Source organism: Homo sapiens, chromosome 16, assembly GCF_000001405.40.
Source record: "Homo sapiens chromosome 16, GRCh38.p14 Primary Assembly".
Taxonomy (NCBI): Eukaryota; Metazoa; Chordata; class Mammalia; order Primates; family Hominidae; genus Homo; species Homo sapiens.
This window is the reverse complement of record NC_000016.10, coordinates 18,895,501-18,918,446: the sequence shown is the minus strand read 5'-3', so window position 1 is coordinate 18,918,446 and position 22,946 is coordinate 18,895,501. Positions and strand designations below refer to the sequence as shown.

The following is a 22,946-nucleotide window of genomic DNA, read 5'->3' as shown; positions in this document are numbered from 1 at the left end:
CAAAATAGAAGAAAATTAGGATAAGACCAGGTGCAAATTGTCAGTGTGTAGAGAAATTGGGTACTTCTGAGGAGTAATACAAATAAGAGGTGAAGCTGAAGCACTGGGTTGGGAACCCTATTGTAGGCCTTGAATCATAGTTCAAGTGTTTTTTTCTTTGTTTGTTTGTTTGTTTGTTTTTGGAGACGGAGTTTTTGCTCTTGTTGCCCAGGCTGGAGCACAATGGTGCCATTTTGGCTCACTGCAACCTCCGCCTCCCGGGTTCAAGCAGTTCTCCTTCCTCAGCCTCCCAAGTAGCTCTAGGGATTACAGGCACGCACCACCACACCCGGCTAATCTTTTGTATTTACTAGAGACGGGGTTTCACCATGTTGGTCAGGCTTGTCTTGAACTCATGACCTCAGGTGATCCACCCATCCCAGCCTCCCAAAGTGCTGGGATTACAGGCGTGAGCCACCACCCTGGCCCAGTTCAAGTGTATTTGGAGTGACTTTAGGGAATCATATTAGCTGCGGGAGAGTGGCACAATTTAGGAAGATTAAATCTAGTTGCTTCTTGAAAAAGTGTGTGGGCTGGGCGTGGTGGCTCATGCCTGTAATCCCAGCAGTTTGGGAGGCTGAAGTGGGTGGATCTCCTGAGGTGGGGAGTTCGAGACTAGCCTGACCAACATGGAGAAACCCCGTCTCTACTAAAAATACAAAATTAGTCGAGTGTGGTGGTGCATGCCTGTATTCCCAGCTACTCGGGAGGCTGAGGCAGGAGAATTGCTGGAACCTAGGAGGCCAAGGTTGTGGTGAACTGAAATTGCGCCGTTGCACTCCAGCTTGGGCAACAAGAGCAAGACTCCATCTGAAAAAAAAATGGAGTGTGTGTGTTAGAGTGCGTGCATGCATGTGCAAGAGAAATCGCAGTGGGAGGCAGTTAATTGGAACAATATAGAGAAGGGGCTGCTAAGGACCTGAGTATTATGTTTATATTTAACAATTTAAGATAAGGCTGTGTATGTATGGTGGCTCATACCTGTAATCCCAGCACTTTGGGAGGGCAAGGTGGGTGGATCATCTGAGGTCGGGAGAGACCAGCCTGACCAGCATGGAGAAACCCCATGTCTACTAAAAATACAATAATTAGCCGGGCATGGTGGCATATGCCTGTAATCCCAGCTACTTGGGAGGCTGAGGCAGGAGAATCACTTGAACCTGGGAGATGGAGGTTGTGGTGAGCCGAGATCGGGCCATTGTACTCCAGCCTGGGCAACAGGAGCGAAACTCTGTCTCAAAAAATAAATAAATAAATAAATTAATTAATTAAGGTAAAAGTGTTCAGCTCAATATGTGAGAATTTCCATAAGCAAAAGCCCCTCATTTGTTATCTGGTGTTGATTGAGGATGATTACTAAAGTGATACTTTTTATCTGCTCAATCTTCATGTTAGACACATGTATGGAATGTCATATAAGTGTCATATAAAATGGAGTGTGGTCCATGGTGTCTTTTGGGAACATTGAATTGTTACAATTCTTTAGGATTTTCTGCCTTTGTTACCTGACTCTTGTTCCTTATCCTAATCGCCTAAAACAAATCCCTGAGGCTCCTTTCATTGGACCACCCTTGATGATTCAGAGGAGCTGTTTGTTATCTTTTCATGTTGTCATTATTTTGGTTACCTGTCTTTGACTATCTTGAAGTTTTTCAGAGCCCATTTTATTTTTGGAACTATAAAATGAAACATACTTCCCCTTGTATAGAGGCCTAACAGTAAAGAGTACAGAAATTTGTGGTTTCATATGTATGGGAAATGCTCCCTTATTCTGTGTTTTTTTTTGTGTGTGTTTTTTAATGTAGAGTATAACTTACTAAATTCTTGTGGAGTTTGCTCATGCAGAGATACTTGGTTTTATAACGTTATTCTTTTTTTTTTTTTTTTTTTTTTTGAGATGGAGTCTCACCGTCGCCCACGCTGGAGTGCAGTGGCAGGATCTCGGCTCACTGCAGGCTCCACCCCCCGGGGTTCACGCCATTCTCCTGCCTCAGCCTCCCGAGTAGCTGGGACTACAGGCGCCCGCCACCTCGCCCAGCTAATTTTTTGTATTTTTGGTAGAGACGGGGTTTCACTATGTTAGCCAGGATGGTCTCGATCTCCTGACCTCGTGATCCGCCCACCTTGGCCTCCCAAAGTGCTGGGATTACAGGCGTGAGCCACCGTGCCTGGCCTATAATGTTATTCTTTTCCATCTTGTATTAATCAAGTGTACTTTTCCTTTTTAGATTGAATTCTCTTTTGAATTCTATTGTGGTGCTTCTTTGAGATAAAATTTATGTATGTATAAGTGGTGGTGGTTTTTTTTTTTTTTCTGGTTTTTTTTTTTTTTTTTTTTGAGACGAAGTGTCGCTCTTATCCCCCAGGCTGGAGTGCAATGGTGTGATCACGGCTCACTGCAACCTCTGCCTCCCGGGTTCAAGTGATTCTTCTGCCTCAGCCACCTGAGTAGCTGGGATTACAGATGCCTGCCACCACGCCTGGCTGGTTTTTGTACTTTTAGTAGAGATGGGGTTTCACCATGTTGGCCAGGCTGGTCTTGAACTCCTGACCTCAGGTGATCCACCTGCCTCGGCCTCCCAAAGTGCTGGGATTACAGGCGTGAGCCACCACGCCTGGCCTGTATAGGTCTTAAATTCAGTAAATTTTGACAAATCTATACACCTGTGTAACCATGACCTCAGTCAAGGTACAGATATGCAGTGACTTTTTCACTATGACACCCATTCCTGCCACGTTTTTTTCATATCCTTACCACTATCTGGAATTTTTATGTGTGCCATCTCCAGTAAAATACAACCTGCATATGTGCATGGATCTGGTAAAATTGTTACTTTTGCTATCCCCTTCTTTCCTACTAAGTGCATCAATAAATAGCATCCACTCTATATTTGTGTCTTCCTCAAGTAAATACATGAAAATGAGATCCTGCAAGTTTGTGTTTTTATAGTTAGTGTTAACTCCAGAGATTACAACACTGTTCTTGTAGGATGTGTTTTTGGGGAAAGCGTTCCTCTTATGGCAGCCCTGTTAGCCTGAGGCAGGGCTTAAACAAACTGAGCAGGCTCAAAAGGACAGTATTGTAATGGACTGGAGTGGCCAGATCTTTTTACAGAAGAAAGAATACGGTAATTTGGCCACGTGCAGTGGCTCACACCTGTAATCTCAGCAATTTGGGAGGCCGAGGTGGGCGGATCATGAGGTCAAGGGATCAAGACCATCCTGGCCAACATGGTGAAACCCCATCTCGACTAAAAAATATACAAAAATTAGCTGGGCATGGTGGCACACACCTGTAGTCCCAGCTATTCAGGAGGCTGAGGCAGGAGAATTGCTTGAACTTGGGAGGCGGAGGTTGCAGTGAGTGGAGATGATGCCGTTGCAGTGAGTGGAGATGATGCCATTGCACTCCAGCCTGGGCAACAAGAGGAAAAAAAACTCCGTCTCAGAAAAAAAAAAAAAAAAATATGGTAATTTAAGATTCATATGTTTTATCCATCTTGAAAAATACCTTGTGCACATATTTAAAGTCTTTTTACACATTGACTTATCTTGGGTCTATTGTATCTGTCTACATTATTTAAGCAATGTAATCACTAAAAATTTAAGCACTGGGTTGAGCCTTCTGGCATCCCATTAGAATGCCTGGGGAAACACACTTCTTGTCAGTTGCGTGCCTGCTGATTGGGGAATGAAACACAAATATTCCAGAATCAACAGATTTCTTTATTTTATTTTATTTGTCATCCAGGCTGGAGTGCAGTGGTGAGATCTTGGCTCACTGCAAACTCTGCCGCCTGGGTTCAAGTGATTCTCCTACCTCAGCCTCCTGAGTAGCTGGGATTACAGGCGATTGCCACCACGCCTGGCTAATTTTTGTAGTTTTTAGTAGAGATGGGGTTTCACCGTCTTGGCCAGGCTGGTCTTGAACTCCTGACCTTAGGTGAGGAGGAAATCCCATTTTGTAAATCCCAAAGTCCTGGGATTACAGGCGTGAGCCACCACACCTGGCCTAGAATCAACAGATTTCTAAACATACTGAATTACTTCTTTCATATTAATTTTCGGACCTTTTCAAAAAAGGAATTGGATATCCTGTTGATATTCATATTCATGTTATTATTATGTTGGTTTTCATATAATATGTGTAGGACTTTATGGTTATTTAAAAACCTATTATAGACTTTTTTTGTTTATTATTTAAAACTTTTTTCAGAGGGACTTGTTGCTTTTTTTTTTTTGAGATGGAGTTTTGCTCTTGTTGCCCAGGCTGGAGTGCAAGGGCACGATCTAGGCTCACGCAACCTCTACCTCCTGGGTTCAAGTGATTCTCCTGCCTCGGCCTCCTGAGTAGCTGGGATTACAGACATGTGCCACTCGCCTGGCTAATTTTTTGTATTTTTAGTAGAGACAGGGTTTCACTGTGTTAGCCAGGATGTTCTTCATCTCCCGACCTCAGGTGATGCCCCCTGCCTTGGCTTCCCGAAGTGCTGGGATTACAGGCGTAAACCACCTCGCCCAGCCTCAGAGGGATTTCTGGTACCAGAATTATAGATTGTTTTTGTTACCGAACTTCCTAAGTTATGCTCATTCTTTGTTTATTAAGGGGAGACACTAGATTTTTTTTTTATTACCCTTTTTATCATCATAGAGAACTTTAGTAGTCTACAAGAATATTATTAGAGGCTTAGCAGTGGCCTCACTGCACATACATGTATATGTCTTTGGGAACCTACAGGTTTTTAAGAAGTTGTTAAACTTAATATTTACTAGATATTTGTTTTTGGATGGCATCTAATATATTAATAGCCTAGAAAAAAGGCTCCACTAATGAATATGTCTTGGATTACATAGTGACATATATTAGCTTTTCGTCCACATTTGATAACATTGCTAACATTTTCTTTTTTTTTTTACTGAAGCTCTTTGAATTTAAAGTTTTCTCTCATTTAAATTTATTAATTAAAAACGTACCTTTACTCTGTTCCCTTTAGCATTTCAACCTGATGTTAAAAGATGTATATGTGTGATACGTGTGTTTGAAATTTTAACTTTCATCTTGGAGTATTTAATTCTCTGAAGCAGTGCATGACTCTTGCTCTTCAGCCTCTTGAGGGTGTCCCTGGTTTATATTCCTGATGATACAAACCCTGGAATTTCTTGTCTGAAGTGTTAACACTTAATTTCCAGGCCCTAATTTGATTTTAATAGTGGAAGTTCAGATTCAATGCATTAATGACAGATTCTACGTTGACTTCTTCAGATTTGCCAGACAGAAAAACCTACTTATGTGAGGAAATCATTAGGCTTTTTGACTATCCTCTTTGTATAATGAGACCCTTTTCTCATTAGATGAGTAAAAAGATCCAGAGATGATCACCAATATCACCCAGAATTCATATATATTTAATTGAAAAGAAAACAAATCCTGGGATTCTTTCCTAAAAAGGTTGATTACATTTCTTGCCTGTCCGAACGTTGTATAAACGTGAAGAAAAATAAAAATATAGGTTTTCCAGCACTGGGACTATGAAATTTGAGATTTAACATTTATTCATTAGTCAGATTTAAAGGAATCAACCTGAAGTCGTAGTTTATATTGTTTTTGAAGGACCTGAGTAAGGATTCTATTAAAAATGATTAATTCTGTCATTATTTGAAATATTGATAGGATTTTAATATGTTCCTTTTTTGAGAATACTAAAATTATAAATTAACTTACACTTAATAGCAAATAGGTCGTAAGTATGTGGTAATCAATTTATTGACTAAAAATTTTGTAAAAGATACCTTTTATTTAAAGTGGCCTATCGTGTAGTTACTATGATGGTAGTGCTCTCTACATTTTCATTGTAATCTTACTGAAGAAGTAAAAATTAATCATTATTGTTCTCCCCACTCTAATATTAATTCAAAAATCATAATTGTACACATAGGGTACAACGTAATGTTTATATATATGTGTGTAATGTAGTATGATTAAATCATGCTAATTAACATACTATCACCTTACTTTGCTTACTTATATTTTGTGGTGAGGCATTTGAAATTTACTCTTAATTGTTTGAAATACATTATTATTATTGCTATTGTTATCTCTGTCTTCTCTTTGCAAATAAATACATCATTATTTACTATAGCCACCCTGTTGTGCAAAGATTTCAAAAACTATTCTCCTATGTGAAATTTGTTCCCTTTTCTTTTTCAAAAAAAAAAAAAATCCACCCGCTGTTTTAGCATTGGTGAAGTTAAAAATAGAACCAGTGTGTTTTAGATTCCTCTCTAAGTGTCTTTATTTTTAAGAATGGTTTTTTTTTTTTTTTTTTGAGATGGCATCTTGCTCTGTTGCCCAGGCTGGAGTGCAGTTGGCACCATCTTGGCTCACTGCAATCTCCACCTCCCGGGTTCAAGCGATTCTCCTGCCTCAGCCTCCCATGTAGCTGGGATTACAGGTGCATGCCACCACGCCTGGCTAATTTTTGTATTTTTAGTAGAGACGGGTTTCACCATGTTGGCCAGGCTGGTCTCAAACTCCTGATCTCAGGTGATACATCCGCTTCAGCCTCCCAAAGTTCTGGGATTACAGAAGTGAGCCCCCGTGCCTAGCTAGAATGTGTGTATTTTAAAAAGTTAATCCTTCACAGATATTTATCTTAGGGAGAGGCTGGTGTCATGAAAAAAGCTGTGGACTAAGAATGGGAAGACAAAGATCTTTTGTATTGGCACTACCAGCTGTGTCCCTCTGAGGGGGTAATTTTTGCCTTTTGAAGACGTTGGGAGGGTTAAAGTTCAGGAAATTATTTTTAAAACTGTTTCAGTGAATATTTAGAAAAATATTAGTGGAGATAGAATTAATTGCTCCGCAGTGGAGTGGCTCTCTTTCTACATTTTCTTTTTTTTTGAGACGAGTCTCGCTCTGTCCCCCAGGCTGGAGTGCAATGGTGCGATCTCAGCTCACTGCAACCTCCGCCACCCGGGTTCAAGCGATTATCCTGCCTCAGCCTCCTGAGTAGATAGGATTACAGGCATGTGCCACCACACCCAGGTAATTTTTTTTTTTGTATTTTTAGTAGAGACAGGGTTTCACCTTGTTGGCCAGGCTGGTCTTGAACTCCTGACCTTGTGATCCATTCACCTCTGTCTCCCAAGGTGCTGGGATTACAGGTGTGAGCCACCATGCCTGCCCTCCTTCTACATTTTCTAGTGTACTCCCATTAGGCTGTAAACCTATTTCAAGTTGAACAATAAGAAATTTCAGCATAGCTCTGCATCATCATTTTTTCTCCATATCTTGTATTCACACCTTAAGAATTTGTTACTAGTTGAAATGATAAGCCAGCAAACATAATCTAATCTTTGTGACTATTTGCATAGATTGGAGGGCAAGTACAATGTAAATGGAATGTATATAGAGAAAGGGTAGGTTAAAAGGTAGCTTATAGCTTGCTTACCTTTTACTACACAGTTGGAATTTAAGAACTGATTCTTATAAGAACACCAGTTGAACGATGAATTGCTTTTTTCCCTCTGGTGTAGTGTGTATGGCTGTGTATATACATATTTTTATTTTAATTTTATTTTTTAATGGGAGGAGGGAGGATGCCAGAAACATTGAAAGGTTGTATTCTGCCAATGTGATAGTTTTAAGTACTTGAGGGGGTGGAGAAGAACCACACGCATCTTCTAAGCAAAGATGGGAAATATCATATCATTATAAGAATGTATATACAGTATTAAGCAATTACAAGATTTTGGGCCGGGCATGGTGGTGCTTTGGGAGACCAAGGCAGGGAGGTGGGTGGATCACTTGAGCCCAGGAGTTGGAGACCAGCCTGGGTAACATAGTGAGACCTCGTTTCTACAAAAAATAAAAAAATTGGCTGGGCATGGTGGCTTACACCTGTAATCCCAGCACTTTGGGAGTCCGAGGCTGTCAGATCACCGAGATCAGAAATTCGAGAGCAGCCTGACCAACCTGGTGAAACTCCGTCTCTACTAAAAATACAAAAATTAGCTGGGCATGGTGGTGCATGCCTGTAATCCCAGCTATTTGGGAGGCTGAGGCAGGAGAATTGCTTGAACCCAGGAGGCAGAGGTTGCAGTGAGCCAAGATCACACCACTGCACTCCAGCCTGGGCAACAGAGCAAGACTCTGTCTCAAAAAAAAAAAAAAAATAGCTGGGCATGGTGGCGTGAGTTTCTAGTCCCACCTACTTGGGAGGCTGAGGTGGGAGGATTGCCTTAGCCCAGGAGGTCGAGGCTACTGTGAGCTGTGATTGTGCCACTGTCTCAAAGAAAAAAAAAAAAGATTCTGGTACTATTTGAAATTGTAGTACTGTAAATCTATAATAAATGATTGCTGTCTCTTAAGGAACTTAATATCTAGAAACATTGTTTTTTTTTTCTTGTAAAAGGGAATTATAAAAGTTACTTCTTTTAAATCACTTATGTCAATCTGATTAAAGTGTGTTTAGTATAAAATGTAACAAAAGAAAAAGATAGGGTTTGTGTAGACTGTGGGTTTAAAGTGGCTTAAGTGATGATTTTGAAGTTTCCTAGGTGTCTTATACTTAAGGCTAAATACAAAGACCTCAGTAAATTTCTGGCTACTGCTGAGCATGGTGGGAGCATCGTTTCCTGTTCTTACTAGTATGTTTCAGCAGCTAGCAAAAGCTGTCTTCATTTAATACATTTTCCTACAGTTAATAGTGTGATTATCTTGAAAGGCATCTTCCTTTTTCAGTATTTGATTTGTGAGACCATATCTTCTGGAATTACTTGAGACCTCTAATTAAATTGACGTTTAAAATTTTTTATTTCATTTTCTTTTAGAGTTGGAGGTCTTGCTGTGTTGTGTGGACTGGCCTAGGATGATGATGATGATTTTTTTCTTTAGAGACACAGTCTCACTGTGTTGCCCAGGCTGGTCTCAAACTCCTGGGCTCGAGTGATCCTCCTGTTTCAGCCTCCTGAGTAGCTGGGATTACAGGTGTGAGCTACTGCAGCTGGCTTGGCCTAGGATTATTTTTATTTTTATTTATTTTATTTTATTTTTTCCTTTTTTTGAGATGGAGTTTCGCTCTTGTTGCACAGGCTGGAGTGCAATGACGCCGTCTCAGCTCACCACAGCCTCTGCCTCCCGGGTTCAAGTGATTCTCCTGCCTCAGCCTCCCGAGTAGCTGGGATTACAGGCATGCACCACCACACCTGGCTAATTTTGTATTTTTAGTGGAGACAGGATTTCTCCATGTTGGCCAGGCTGGTCTTGAACTCTTGATGTCAAGTGATCCACCTGCCTCGGCCTCCTAAAGTGCTGGGATTACAGGTGTGAGCCACCGTGCCTGGCCAGGATTATTTTTAAAGAGAAGATTTAACATATGTAATTGTTAGAAAATCTTATAAACATGTCATTCCCTGGGAATGTGCTTCAACCTGTTGGCTAAAGGAACTTTATCAGAATAACTACAGTTATTATCTATTTTCAGGAGTTGAAAAAAATGGTTGCATACATTTCTTTTTTTTTTTTTTGAGGCGGAGTCTCGCTGTGTCACCCAGGTTGGAGTGCAGCGGCGTGATCTCAGCTTACTGCATGCTCCACCTCCCGCGCTCACGCCATTCTCCTACCTCAGCCTCCCGAGTAGCTGGGACTTCAGGCGCCTGCCACCACGCCTGGCTAATTTTTTTGTAGTTCTAGTAGAGACGGGGTTTCACTGTGTTAGCCAGGATGGTCTTGATCTCCTGACCTTGAGATCCTCCCGCCTTGGCCTCCCAAAGTGCTGGGATTACAGGCGTGAGCCACCACACCTGGCCCATTCATTTCTTATATTGGTAAACATCACTTCACCTTTACCTTGATTATAAAGTCCCTGTCTATTTTTGAGATTCTTTAGATTTCTGCAGTGTGTAACTTTTTTTTTTTTTTTTTTTTTTTGAGACGGAGTCTCGCTCTGTTACCTAGGCTGGAGTGCAGTGGTGCAATGTAACTCTTAGTGATTCTTAATCTTCGTTGGAATGGGCTATGTTTGGCCTTTTTTTTTTTTTTGGAGACTGAGTCTCACTCTGTTCTCCAGGCTGGAGTGTAGTGGTGAGCTCTCGGCTCACTGCAACCTCCGCCTCTGGGTAAGCGATTCTCCTGCCTCAGCCTCCCGAGTAGCTGGGATTACAGATGTGCACCACCACGCCTGCCTAATTTTTTTGTATTTTTAGTAGAGACTGGGTTTCACCATGTTGGCCAGGCTGATCTTGAACTCCTGAACTCAGGTAATCTGCCTGCCTCAGGCTCCCAAACAGCTGGGATTACAGGAGTGATCAACTGCGCCTGGCCTATGTTTGGCATTTAACTGGTCGGGGAGGGATGCATATCTTTGTACATTTTCAGCCTTTTTTGTCCTTCATCTATTAAAGAGGTCATAGAGTAAGATATTTCCTTTCAATCTTGGCAATTTCCCAGGCCAAATGATATGTTTCTAGGGTACTTCCAGGACTTACTGACAAAAGGGGAAGATAAGTGATGCAATTGAGAGCTGAAGTAGGGTCTCTTTTTTTTTTTTTTTTTTTTTTTTGAGTCTCGTTCTGTCGCCTAGGTGGGAATGCAGTGGCGTGATCTTGGCTCACTACAACCTCTGCCTCCCGGGTTCAAATGATTCTCCTGCCTCAGCCCCCTGAGTAGCTGGGACTACAGGCGCTGCACCACCAGGCCTGGCTAAGTTTTTGTGTATTTTTGGTAGAGACAGGGTTTCACCATGTTGGTCAGGCTGGTCTCGAACTCCTGACCTCATGATCCGCCCGCCTCGGCCTCCCAAAGTGCTGGGATTATAGGCGAGAGCCACTGTGCCCAGCGAAGCAGGGTCACTTTTTAAGGTTGTAAGCTAGCTTGGGTTAGAAATAAAGGCAGAGAGCCACTCCATACCTGTAGTTCTAGCTACTGGGGAGGCTAAAACCAGAGGATCTCTTGAGCCCAGGAGTTCAAGGCTGCAGTGAGCTGTAATAACACACTGCACTACAATGTGGGCAACATAGAGTGAGACCTAATTAAAAAATAAATAAATAAATAAATGCAAGGAGAAAGTCATGAACTTGGTGCATTTAGGTGTACAATTAGTTGGCATAAACGATTTTTTTTTTTTTGAGATGGAGTTTCTCTCGTTGCCCAGGCTGGAGTGCATTGGCGCAGTCTCGGCTCACTGCAACCTCCGCCTCCTGGGTTCAAGTGATTCTCCTGCCTCAGCCTCCTGAGTAGCTGGGATTACAGGCGCCTGCCACCACACCCAGCTAATTTTTGTATTTTTCATAGACGGGGTTTCGTCATATTGGCCAGGCGGATCTTGAACTCCTGACCTCAAGTGATCCATCCGCCTCAGCCTCCCAAAGTGCTGGGATTACAGGCGTGAGCCACTATGCCAGCCAAGAATTTTTAAAAAAGGAGTTTCACTCAGCCGACCTCATTCCTCAGCAGGGCACCTGTGTGCAGGGCAAAACTGCTCAACCCTACTCAGCAGCCCTGTGAAAGCTGCTGAAAGGATGAGCAGATTGAGGCCTGAACTGTATCTTGGATTTAGCAGCCTGGAGGTCATAATGGATTTTGCCAAGAGTGATGGGGCAGAAATTGGACCAGTGTGTGTTAAGGAGCTAGAAGAAGTGAAGAAATGGGAGAGAGGAGTCTAGACAACTTTAGTTTGGCTGCAGCAAGTAAAGGCAGATTGTTTGATGGAGGGACATGTGGGATTGATGGAGTTTTTCCTTTTTATATGTTTTTGTATTTTTAAATGGGATACATTGAAAGTGTTGCATGTTTATGGGGGGGATTTAGTTCAGTGGGAAAGTATTTGAAAAGTTACAGTAAGGTGGAAGTAGATGGAATCCTAAGTAAGGTCTAGAATCAGGTGCAGGTATTTTATGGTATCTTCCCCACCCCACCCCGAGACGGAGTTTCGCTCTTATTATTGCCCAGGCTCTGGATTGCAGTGGTGCAGTCTTGGCTCACTGCAACCTCCACCTCCTGGGTTCAAGCGATTCTCCTGTGTCAGTCTCCCGTGTAGCTGGAATTACAGGTGCGCACCACCACACCCAGCTAATTTTTGTATTTTTAGTAGAGATGAGGTTTCACCATTTTGGCCAGGCTGGTATCCAACTCCTGACCTCAAGTGATCCACCGCCTTGGCCTCCTAAAGTGCAGGGATTACAGGCGTGAACCACCGTGCGCAGCTGGTACCTTTTTTTTTGTTGGTGAAGTAGAATGTGTGTATGGGGAGGGGAGGTGATAGGATATTTTGGAATTTGAAGAGAATGGGAATGTCTGGATAGTGCATGTATAGAATGGGAAGTAAACACTGGAGGACCTGGGAGTATGGTGCTTGTTGATGGATCATTGAGTTTATCCAGGACTGGGGTTTTACCAGATGGGTGTGATGAAAACCTTAAGAGTTAAGGGTATAGGCAAGAGTGTTGTTGAAATGATACACAATGAAATCTAAGCTGGTTAAAGAAGTGAGGAAGGGGCCGGGCATGTTGCCTCACGCCTGTAATTCCAGCACTTTGGGAGGCCGAGGCGGCTGGATCCCTTGAGGTCAGGAGTTCGAGACCAGCCTGGCCAACATGGTGAAACCCCGTCTCTACTAAAAATACAAAAATTAGCCGGGTGTGGTAGCAGGGGCCTGTAATCTCAGCTACTTGGGAGGCTGAGGCAGGAGAATCACTTGAACCTGGAGGTGGAGGTTGCAGTGAGCCAGTATTGCACCACTATACTCCAGCCTGGGCAACAAAGTCAGAGTCTGTCTCAAAAAAAAAAAAAAATGAAATGAAGAAGGAGGAGAATACTTGGATTGGGATAAAGTAGAAAGAGTCACTGGAATTAAAGTTAACTAAAAAACTCATAAACTTTAGAATGGTATTGAGAAATTGTAATGTGAACTGAAAAAGTCTCATGGGATTTTAGAGCCAAGAAGGTCTTGAGTGGCAGTTCCTACCTTGGTAGGAATAGCTTCAGTGGTGTGTTGCAGGTGGAACCCAGATTAAAGTGGGTTAAAAAGTAAGTGAAGGCAAGGAAGATAAATTTTTCAACAGGTTTGTCTGCGAAGAGTCCAGGCTATTAGATTGATAGAGGGAGAAAGGCAGTTAAAGGGTTTTTTTGTTTTTTGTTTTTTGTTTTGAGTCAGAGTCTCACACTGTTGCCTGGTCTGGAGTGCAATGGCGCGACCTCAGCTCACTGCAACCTCCACCTCCGGGGTTCAAGTGGTTCTCCTGCTTCAGCCTCCCAACTAGCTGGGATTACAGGCGCCCACCACCATACCCGGCTAATTTTTTGTATTTTTAGTAGAGACGGGGTTTCACTATGTTGCCCAGGCTGGTCTCAAACTCCTGAACTCATGATCTGCCTGCCTCACCCTCCCAAAGTGCTGGGATTACAGGCGTAAGCCACCGTGCCCGGCCTTATTTTCTTAATTTTTAGATTTATTTTATTATTATTATTGTTTTTTGAGATGGAGTCTCTCTGTTGCCCAGGCTGGAATGCAGTGGTGCAATCTCGGCTCACTGCAGCCTCCGCCTCCCGGATTCAAGCGATTCTCCTGCCCCAGCCTCCTGAGTAGCTGGGATTGCAGGCACCCACCACCACGCCTGGCTGATATTTGTATTTTTAGTTGAGACGGGGTTTCACTACATTGGCGAGGCTGGTCTTGAACTCCTGACGTCATGATCCACCCACCTCGGCCTCCCAAAGTGCTGGGATTACAGGCGTGAGCCACTTCACCCGGCCTTTATTTTATTTTTTTTTGAGACAGAGTCTTGCTCTGTCACCAGACTGGAGTGTAGTGGCATGATCTCGGCTTACTGCAAGCTCTGCCTCCTGGGTTCAAACGATTCCCCTGCCTCAGCCTCCCAGGTAGCTGGGACTACAGGTGCGTGCCACCACACGCAGGTAATTTTATTTTTTCTATTTTAGTAGAGACGGGGTTTCACCATTTTGGCCAGGGTGGTCTCAATCTCCTGACCTTATGATCTGCCTGCCTTCGCTTCCCAAAGTGCTGGGATTACAGGCGTGAGCCGCCGTGCCCGGCCATTTTTTGTTTTTTGTTTTTTGTTTTTTTTAAAGTAAGACTTTTGAGAGTGCTCATATGTTGATGATGTGATAAGCAGTAGTAAAATGGGAGATTTTGCAACGTACAAAAGAAACAGGCCGGGCACGGTGGCTCAAGCCTGTAATCCCAGCACTTTGGGAGGCCAAGGTGGGTGGATCACGAGATCAGGAGATCGAGACCATCCTGGCTAACATGGTGAAACCCCGTCTCTACTAAAAATATAAAAAATTAGCCGGGCGTGGTGTTGGGCGCCTGTAGTTCCAGCTACTCGGGAGGCTGAGGCAGGAGAATGGCGTGAATCCGGGAGGCGGAGCTTGCAGTGAGTCGAGATCACGTCACCGCACTTCAGCCTGCGCGACAGAGCGAGACTACATCTCAAAAAAAAAAAAAAAAAAAAAGACAAGACATACCTTGGAAAATGGGGGGAATAGACAGATCCAGATGATCTCTATGGATAGGAGGTTTATTTGTTCCATTATGCGAAGATGATGGGAAGAAAAGCTGTATGTGCAGATGCAGGTGAATTTGTGGATATATTAGAAGGAAGATGACAGGCAGTGATGGAGTGTTGAAGAGCTCAAACATTAGACAGTACTGGGTCTGAGTTCTGGCTCTGCCTTTTACAAGCTGTGCAACCTTAGGCCAGTTATGAAACCTTAGTCATCAAGTTATAACTAATAGGATTGTGTTGAACATGAAATGACATGATAAACGTATGTAAACTGCTTGGATCAGTTGCCCACTAGCTCTTGTTAGGAGCTAAAATGTTAGCTCTTGCTGAGGGTGTTGTCAAATGGCTTCTACTTCTCATGAAGCAGAAATCTATAAGGTCATCCACTGGTAGTGGTGGGAGAAGGAAGAAGGTGCAGAAAGTTTTACAGATGTTTTGGAAAGGAAAGAAACCCGGTGAGGGAAATGTGGGCAACTTCAGAGGCCCACTTGAAGTCAGAGAAAAGGAGCACTGGGGCATGGATGTGAGGGGGTACTTTCTTCAGCTTTTCTCTGAAGACAATTATGCATGTAAAACAAAGGTTAAAATCAGATCTACTGCCCTCCTGGAGTTACTGGCTTCGTTTGCTCCTTCTGGCTAATTTGATTGGAGGTCTGAAAATAGAGAATATTAGAGGTTCCTTGGAAGGAAAATAAGCAACACTGAAGTCAAATCTTTATCATGTTTGCTAGAAATGTTACTAAAAAACAAAATTTATGGCCGGGTGCAGTGGCTTATGCCTGTAATCCCAACCCTTTCGGAGGCTGAGGTGAGTGGATCACTTGAGCCCAGGAGTGCGAGACCAGCTTGGGTAACATTTTGGGAATGTTGTAGGGAATGGGACAAAAAAAATACAAAAGTTGCTGGGCGTGGTGGAGTAAGCCTGTGGTCTCAGCTACTTGGGAGGCTGATGTGGGAGGTTTGCTTGAGCTCGGATTGCGCCACTGCACTCTAGCCTGGGCGACAGGGTGAGACCCTGTTTCAAAACAAACAAACAACTTTTTTTGAGCTACAGTATATTTAATGGTTTTAAATATGAGTGCAGAGTAAGAGGGAGTCCAGTCCATAAGATGACCCTTGCATCTAATACTAGTTGCAAGTTTGGGGGTTCCCAAGACCACTCTTTTTTTTTTTTTTGAGACAGGGCCTCTCTCTGTCACCCAGGCGAGAGTGCAGTGGCATGATCACAGCTCACTGTGCCCTGACCTCCTCCCTCCCAGGTTCAGGCAGTCCTCCTACGTCAGCCACCTGAGTTGCTGGATCTATGGGCGCATACCACCTCGCCTGGCTAGTTTTTCTATATTTTTTAGAGACAGTTTCACCATATTGCCAGGCTGGTCTCAAACTCCTGAGCTCAAGTGATCTGCCTGCCTGGGCCTCCCAAAGTGCTGGGGTTACAGGCTTGAGCCACTGTGCCTGGCCAAGACGACTCTTAGGTTGGATGATTTGCCAGGAGGACTCACTAGAACTCATTGAAAGCTCTCATACCCATGGTTAGAGTTTATTGCAGTTTAGGGATTCAGATTAGAATGAGCCAAGGGTAGAGGTGCATAGGGCAGAGTTCGGGGAAGTTCCAAATGTTGGAGTTTCAAATTGTCCTGTCCCTGTAGAGTTGTGAAAAATGATACCTTCCTGGTGGCACTGGTGTGCGACAATACTCATGAATTATTGCCTACCAGGGAAGCTCACTCTGTTTTTTATGTCCAAAGTTTTTACTGGGGTTCCATGGTTGCATGCCCATGTGGCTAACCTTAGTCTCCAGCCCCACTGGAGGTCAAGCTGATCCATGTGACTCAAAGCCCCCACCATAAGTCACATTATTAGACTCTGCTGTGGCCTAAAACCCCCAGATGAACAAGGACACCTTCCCCCCACCGCCACCCCCCCCTTTTTTTTTTTGGAGATAGTCTTGCTCTGTTGCCCAGGCTGGAGTGCAGTGGCATGATCTCAGCTCACTGAAACCTCAGCCTCCTGAGTAGCTGGGATTATTACAGGTGCCCGTCACCATGCCTGGCTAATTTTTGTATTTTTAGTAGAGACAGGTTTCACCATGCTGGCCAGGCTGGTCTCAAAATCCTGACCTCAAGCGATCCACCTGCCTTGGCCTCCCAAAGTGCTGGGATTACAGGTGTGAGCCACTGCTTCTGGCCAGGACCCTCTTATTAGGTATGACATTTCAAGAGTTTAGAGATTACCTTCCAGAATTCACAGGTAAAAGCCAGACCTCTCCTTGGTGAAGATACAATTCTTTACAATTTTACAATAGTTAAGTATATCTTATCAGTCTATATTGGCTGTTTAGTTGACAGACAGTTAAAAATTGGTGACAGTCCAGATGTGGTCACTCATGCTTCTAATCCTAGCATTTTGGGAGGCTGAGGTGGGAGGATTGCTTGAGTCCAGGAAATTGAGAGCAGCCTGAGCAACATAATCAGACACCTGTCTCTACAAAAAACATAAAAATAAAAAATTAGCTAAATGGGGTGGCATGCACCTGTGGTCCCAGCTGTTTGAGAGGCTGAACCCATGAGGTCGAGGCTGCAGTGAGCTATGGTCATGCCAGTGCACTCCAGCCTGGGTGACAGAGTGAGACCCTGTCTCAAAAAAGGAAACAAATCACCCATAAATGGATAATTAAGATTTGGTTATTATAGACACTTAATACTGAGGTAGTTAAACTAGTTTTACCGATAAATTATATTAATTTAATATTTCAGTATTGCAAAACTGATGCATACTCATTTATAATTTTGACATGGAATGGTTCTATTAAATTTGAACTTAAAGTTCTCTGCAAGAAGAGATTTGTATAATAAATTCCCTGAGCCTCTCAAATTAATATTTTAGCCATAGACTCATATTTAGAGCAGTGTTTTTAATGTAATGATACAAGGCCCAGGGTTATTCATAGTTTCACCCTTTCTCTTATTCCTCATTAAAGCATGTTTGAATCCAGGTAAGAGGCATTACAGGGGAAAACCTTGAATTTATTTTTGAAGGGTAAATCATTTTCAAGTGGTATTAACCATTAGTATGGAAAGCAACATATCCTATAACTGCTCTGTGACAGTGAGACTATCTTTGCTACTTTAGAGAATAAGTACATTCCTACTTCATTGGCTTTAGTGCAAATCTCATTTCCTGGTTTATATCCATTATAAATTAGATCTCACCATGAGAGCAAAATCCCTTAATAAACCTAGGTAAAAGCAATTTGAAGTAATATGATGCTTACTCCAGTGACACCACTAGGTATGGTGTTTGCATCAAGTCATTTTGGGGTGCTTTATGGAAATACTTCCTAGTAGGGAATTCCCTGACTTCACACTTTCCAGAGATGACACTCTCTCTCTTTTTCTCTCTAATACTTACAAGAATGGACTGCAAGGCTACATTTAGTCAGGCGATACCATCCCCAGCACATGGTGGATTGTTGGTGTGAGGTCTAAGGATTCTGGTCATTTGAAACGAATGGCCTCCTAGATTTGTGGCATTTTTCTGTATATTGAGAATAGGTAGCTAAAATAAGTGGTAACTATATTTGCATGTGATTTGTATGTTACAGTTAACATTTAAATTCTCTTATGTACTAAAATTTTTTTGGTTGCCACATTAAGCCTCTTTATCCTGTAAGGCACAGAGTGGCTTTCCACCTCAATTTTTGCTTTAATGTATGAACCCTAATGGGACCATAGTTCAACTAAAGGCACCTAACTCATGAATGATATTTGCTCCATGTTTGAACAACAAATGTTTTAACCCACTGTCTTCACTAATATTGTAACTACTGTCTTACAGATTGACTTGATGCAAAACATCACAAAGGCTCCATATTATACAGTATGCGATTTTTGAGGTATGAGCTTTAGAAACTTACCTCTCATGTGGCATGTACATCAGGCTTTAACTTCAGTTTGATCGTTGTGGGGAAATTTATGCATTTCTTTTTTTTTCTCTCCATGATATTTTTAGAATATTAAAGGGGCTGTAGAGGTATTTTTGGATCATTGCTAGGATTCTTAGACTTAACAGATAGATTTTCTTTTTTCACTAAATTGAGACACTAATTCTGGCAGATGATATCCCTTTCAGCTCTTCTAACTAACTAGCCTAACATTCATGCCTGCTTCTTGGAGTTCAAATCTGCAGTTTCTATTTTGTGGCTTTGATTGCCTCATTTTAAGTGCTCATTTCCGTTCTTTAACAGTTTTCTATTTATTGGACTGGGATGATCTTGTTGGTGCTAACAGCCTGACATTGACATTTTTTGAAACCTAAGTAGTCAAGATTGTATAAAAATAGAAATTTCATATAAATGCTAAAGCATTTTGTGCTTTTAGGTTCAGAATGCTTACAACCTGAGTTCTGGTTGGGGATGCTTTGATCAATTTGTATTAAAATAATTTGGCAACTAGGGAGTTTTTAGGTATTTCTGAGACAGTGGCTCTATTCCAGTTAGTTTTTTTTTGTTATATTTCTGAAAACACAAATTTTTTTTGGGAAAAAAATCTCAGTGTTCATAACTTAGGGGATTTAGAAACCTTATTTCTAACCAACGGGGAAGCGGCTCCTGGTTTTACAGTTTAGTTTGAAATCAGATGCTTCGTAGTTGGAAACACATTGTTGGTAGCAACAGATTACCCGGTTTCTTCAGTGAAGTATTTAAGTTGCTCTATATTGACTGTAAAAACTTGTCTTGATTATATTCATATACTCATGAACTGTTTGTACATTGTCTTTTAGACTGGAAACTGAGTTTATTTTGTATTATGGTCATAATAACTTTTAACATACCCTGCAAACTAAGCGTTTCTTTATAATTCATTATCTTATTTAAGCCTCACAACAACCTTGCATGTTAGGTAGGTATCATCCTCATTTTATGCAAGAGACAACCAAGGCTTGGAGATCAAGTAATTTGTGCAAAGGCACACATACTTTTCAGTGCTGGAGCTGGGATTTGAGCCCAGATCTTTTTTTAACTTGTATTCTCTGCTGCCTTATGGTACTACTGTGTCACCAGAAAGTGATACAAATATTTAACTCTTAATAGTAAAGGTAGTATAGGAGATAAGTAAACATGATGAAAACAGGAAGTGAAGATATGTTTAAATATTGGCAGACTCCATTTATCTTTGTGTTTCCGAATTAGTCAAGTGCTTATTTTATTCGCTCATCTAATAAGAGCTTACTGTGGCATACATATAAAGTTCAAACTCTGTCAGAAAAGATTATAAGCTCTCTTATGTTTCAATCTCCTTTCAGAAAGTAATCGTATGCTATGATTTATATAGATGCATGTTAAATGTGCTATTTTTAGGTACATAAGGAATGTCTTTTCATTAGTTTAAAAAAGTTATGGTCCATTGAGTTAATATTTTAATGCTTATAGACTTAGTATACTCAGAAAATATTCTCATACATTTTTCTTGAAATTCCATAGATTTTATTTTCCCTTATGTTCTAAGTACTTAGCTTTATGAATAAATGAACTCTGAATATTAGAAGATACTCCTTATGGAGCCTTAGTCATTTTAGTATGCTAGGTTTTGAATTTCATGAAGTTTCAGATTGAGATCCTTTATAAGTAATGACTTGTACCAGTTAGATATCCAAGTTTAATTGGACCTGTTGTCTGCATTCTGTATTAACAGTGATTGCAGTAAGTGCAGATCAAGGTGTCCAACTGATTGAGCTCATGCTAAGTTTTATGTTTAGTATTTTTGGAAGCAAGGAAAGACTAATAAACTCTAAACGAAATATATACAGTATACAAACACTGCTGTCACTTTTACACCATAGAGGGAGGGGCAAAGCATAGAGGAATAGCTTAGTGTCTGGCCTTGCCAGTGTCCTAAACTTTTCTAAAAGATTCAGGTTCTAAAAGGTTGAGAAAGCATTTTTAGTAAATATCATAGAAGTGATTTTCTTTTTTTTTTTTTTCTCAAAGTTGTTCCTCTCAGGAGAAAATCAGTAGGGGAAGAACTTACTTGGATTTTTCGTATGCTATAATAGATTATTTTGTTGTCTTCTTTCTTGATAGTTTATGATTGATGGCTGAAAGAGTAACACTCATGAGAAGTCTTGTAACTCAGCTCTGTTTTACTTATGAGGTAGTTGAAGCGTAGAGCAGATACTTAGATGAGGACACACTTTTACCCTTGGCTGTACCCTACTTGTTTACTAATAAGCATCAGGTATTATTCTAAACAGTACCTGAATTTTAAATAGATTATGAACTACAACTTTCTGATATCACTTTATTGCATTTCTGATACCTTTTATTTTCTTAAAATGTCTTCTTTTTTAATTTTTAAAATTCTGATTGCTACTCTTTACAATTAAGGCATCTGCAATGGGGTCTTCAATACTACAGTACCTAATCAGTACTTAGAAAATAACTTGGTAAGACATTGCCCGTCCCTGACATGCTGCCAGTGTTTTTTATTTTTATGACAGGAAAGGCTGAAATTTTTTGACTGATTAACCCTCTCCATGGGGGAGAATTTAGAAAGAATTATTCTTATTATCAAGTCATGTGAGGAGAACACTGGACCAGAGTAACCAATTGTTCTGTTTTGCCTGGGACAGGAGACTTTCAATGGTAAAACCAGCAAAGTCACCCTAATCCCAGTAGTTGTTCATATTTCTGAATGGGTCTTTAGAACAATAGAAGAGACTGAAAAGTTGGCATTTCATCCATTGAGAATCTCTTCCCAGTGAAAGACTTCTTATTAGACAGCTGAGTGCTTACATATAATATATAGTACATATTACACTAAATAGTAATGGTTAAATGTAAAATTTGGGAGAAGAGAGGCTTGTATAAAGAAATATTTATTTATGTTATTTAAAGTTCTAATCTTAAACTTTTCTCTTTTTATAGAACTGATAGTGCATCAGCCGACCCAGATAATTTAAAATATTCTTCATCCAGAGATAGAGGTGGTTCTTCCTCTTATGGACTGCAACCTTCAAATTCAGCTGTGGTGTCTCGGCAAAGGCACGATGATACCAGAGTCCACGCTGACATACAGAATGACGAAAAGGGTATATATATTTTCTTATTGCTACAAGCATGTTTTTTGAACCTACCTGTCTCACCTTCCTGCCTTCTTATACCCCCAACTTTCTTGCTTTCTTCTAATATATTTAAAATATGAATAACAAATGCAGTGTTATTTCTGAAAACCTCATAGGACATTTATCCACTTTATTATTTTTAAAATTTAAAATTTTTTCCATACATAATTCATAAATGCAGTTTTCTTACAAGGAAGATACAATACTATTTTTGTTTTTATTTTCAAAAATATTTAGCTAAGGTTGAAGTTCCTCTTGGCTACTATCTCTAAACTTCAAGAAAGTTTTAAAACAAGGTACAAAATTTGATTTAATTTAGTTTTCATTTCTTTGCTTATTTTCCAATGAAGGGATCAAAATAAAATTAATTTAACTTCAAAGGTGTATTAAAAGAAATCAAAATGATTTTCAAGGCAGACAGTACAGGAAAAAGGTAGGAGAAGCAAAGGCTGGTTGAGCTGCAGATTGAGTAATAAGATCCTGAGCTATCAGGAAATTGACTGAATGAAACGAACAATCATATTTAAATAACGTACACATTGCTGTTTGTAGGTGGCTACAGTGTCAATGGAGGATCTGGGGAAAATACTTATGGTCGGAAGTCGTTGGGGCAAGAGCTGAGGGTTAACAATGTGACCAGCCCTGAGTTCACCAGTGTTCAGCATGGCAGTCGTGCTTTAGCCACCAAAGACATGAGGAAATCACAGGGTAAGGCTGGGAAAACGGGGACCAATCACATACACCTTCCAAAGACTTGTATCTCCTCTTATTCTGGATGCCTCTTACTAACGCCTTGCACAGGCATAAGTTGATTAGCCTACTGTGCAGGTAAAAATTGTTTACATTCATTTCCCACTAGAAAGGTTATAGTACATTTTAAAAGAGAAGCCTCTTAAAACAAGATTAGAAGACTGGATAAGATCTTACAGAAAAGGTTTACCCAATTATCGTGGATATTGAATGTATAGTGCATAGTAGGCTCTTACTACAGCAAGTCCTTGAACTCTTGGGCCTGTGGAGGATATAGATATATATAGAGAGGGGGTACTTTTCTGTCTTTTTTTTTTTTCTCTTTTAAGTTCAGGGTACGTGTGCAGGATGTACAGGTTTGTTATGTAGGTAAACGTGTGCCATGGTAGTTGGCTGCACAGATCATCCCATCATCTAGGTATTAAACCCACCATCCATTAAGCTATTCTTGCTGATGCTCTCCTTCCCCCTGCCCCCTAGAGTGGGTACTTTTCTGGTTTTTTTTTTTG

The 22,946-nt window shown here is 41.2% G+C and overlaps 1 protein-coding gene across 12 annotated transcripts in view, besides 1 other annotated feature; it reads left to right on the top strand.

Annotated features, from left to right (window-relative positions):
• The window catches only part of SMG1 (SMG1 nonsense mediated mRNA decay associated PI3K related kinase), a 121,549-nt gene that overhangs the window by 7,962 nt on the left and 90,641 nt on the right, over positions 1-22,946 (top strand). For 4 of the 12 annotated variants that reach the window (XM_047433793.1, NM_015092.5, XM_011545769.4 and 1 more), the window contains exons 2-3: positions 21,491-21,654; positions 22,240-22,395. In XM_047433793.1, coding sequence (XP_047289749.1) covers positions 21,491-21,654; positions 22,240-22,395 — 320 coding nt within the window. Of the gene's footprint in view, positions 1-3,237; positions 7,085-18,402; positions 18,461-21,490; positions 21,655-22,239; positions 22,396-22,946 lie in introns of those variants that run through there. The other 8 variants (XM_005255183.5, XM_047433794.1, XM_017023066.3 and 5 more) reach the window with 5 other exon arrangements.
• Positions 6,501-7,002: an enhancer, noted in NCBI's record as "H3K4me1 hESC enhancer chr16:18922767-18923268 (GRCh37/hg19 assembly coordinates)". NCBI's record gives its function as "activates a minimal SCP1, AML or CMV promoter by ChIP-STARR-seq in primed H9 embryonic stem cells {active_cell/tissue: H9 hESC(primed)}" and the evidence as "EXISTENCE:reporter gene assay evidence [ECO:0000049][PMID:30033119]".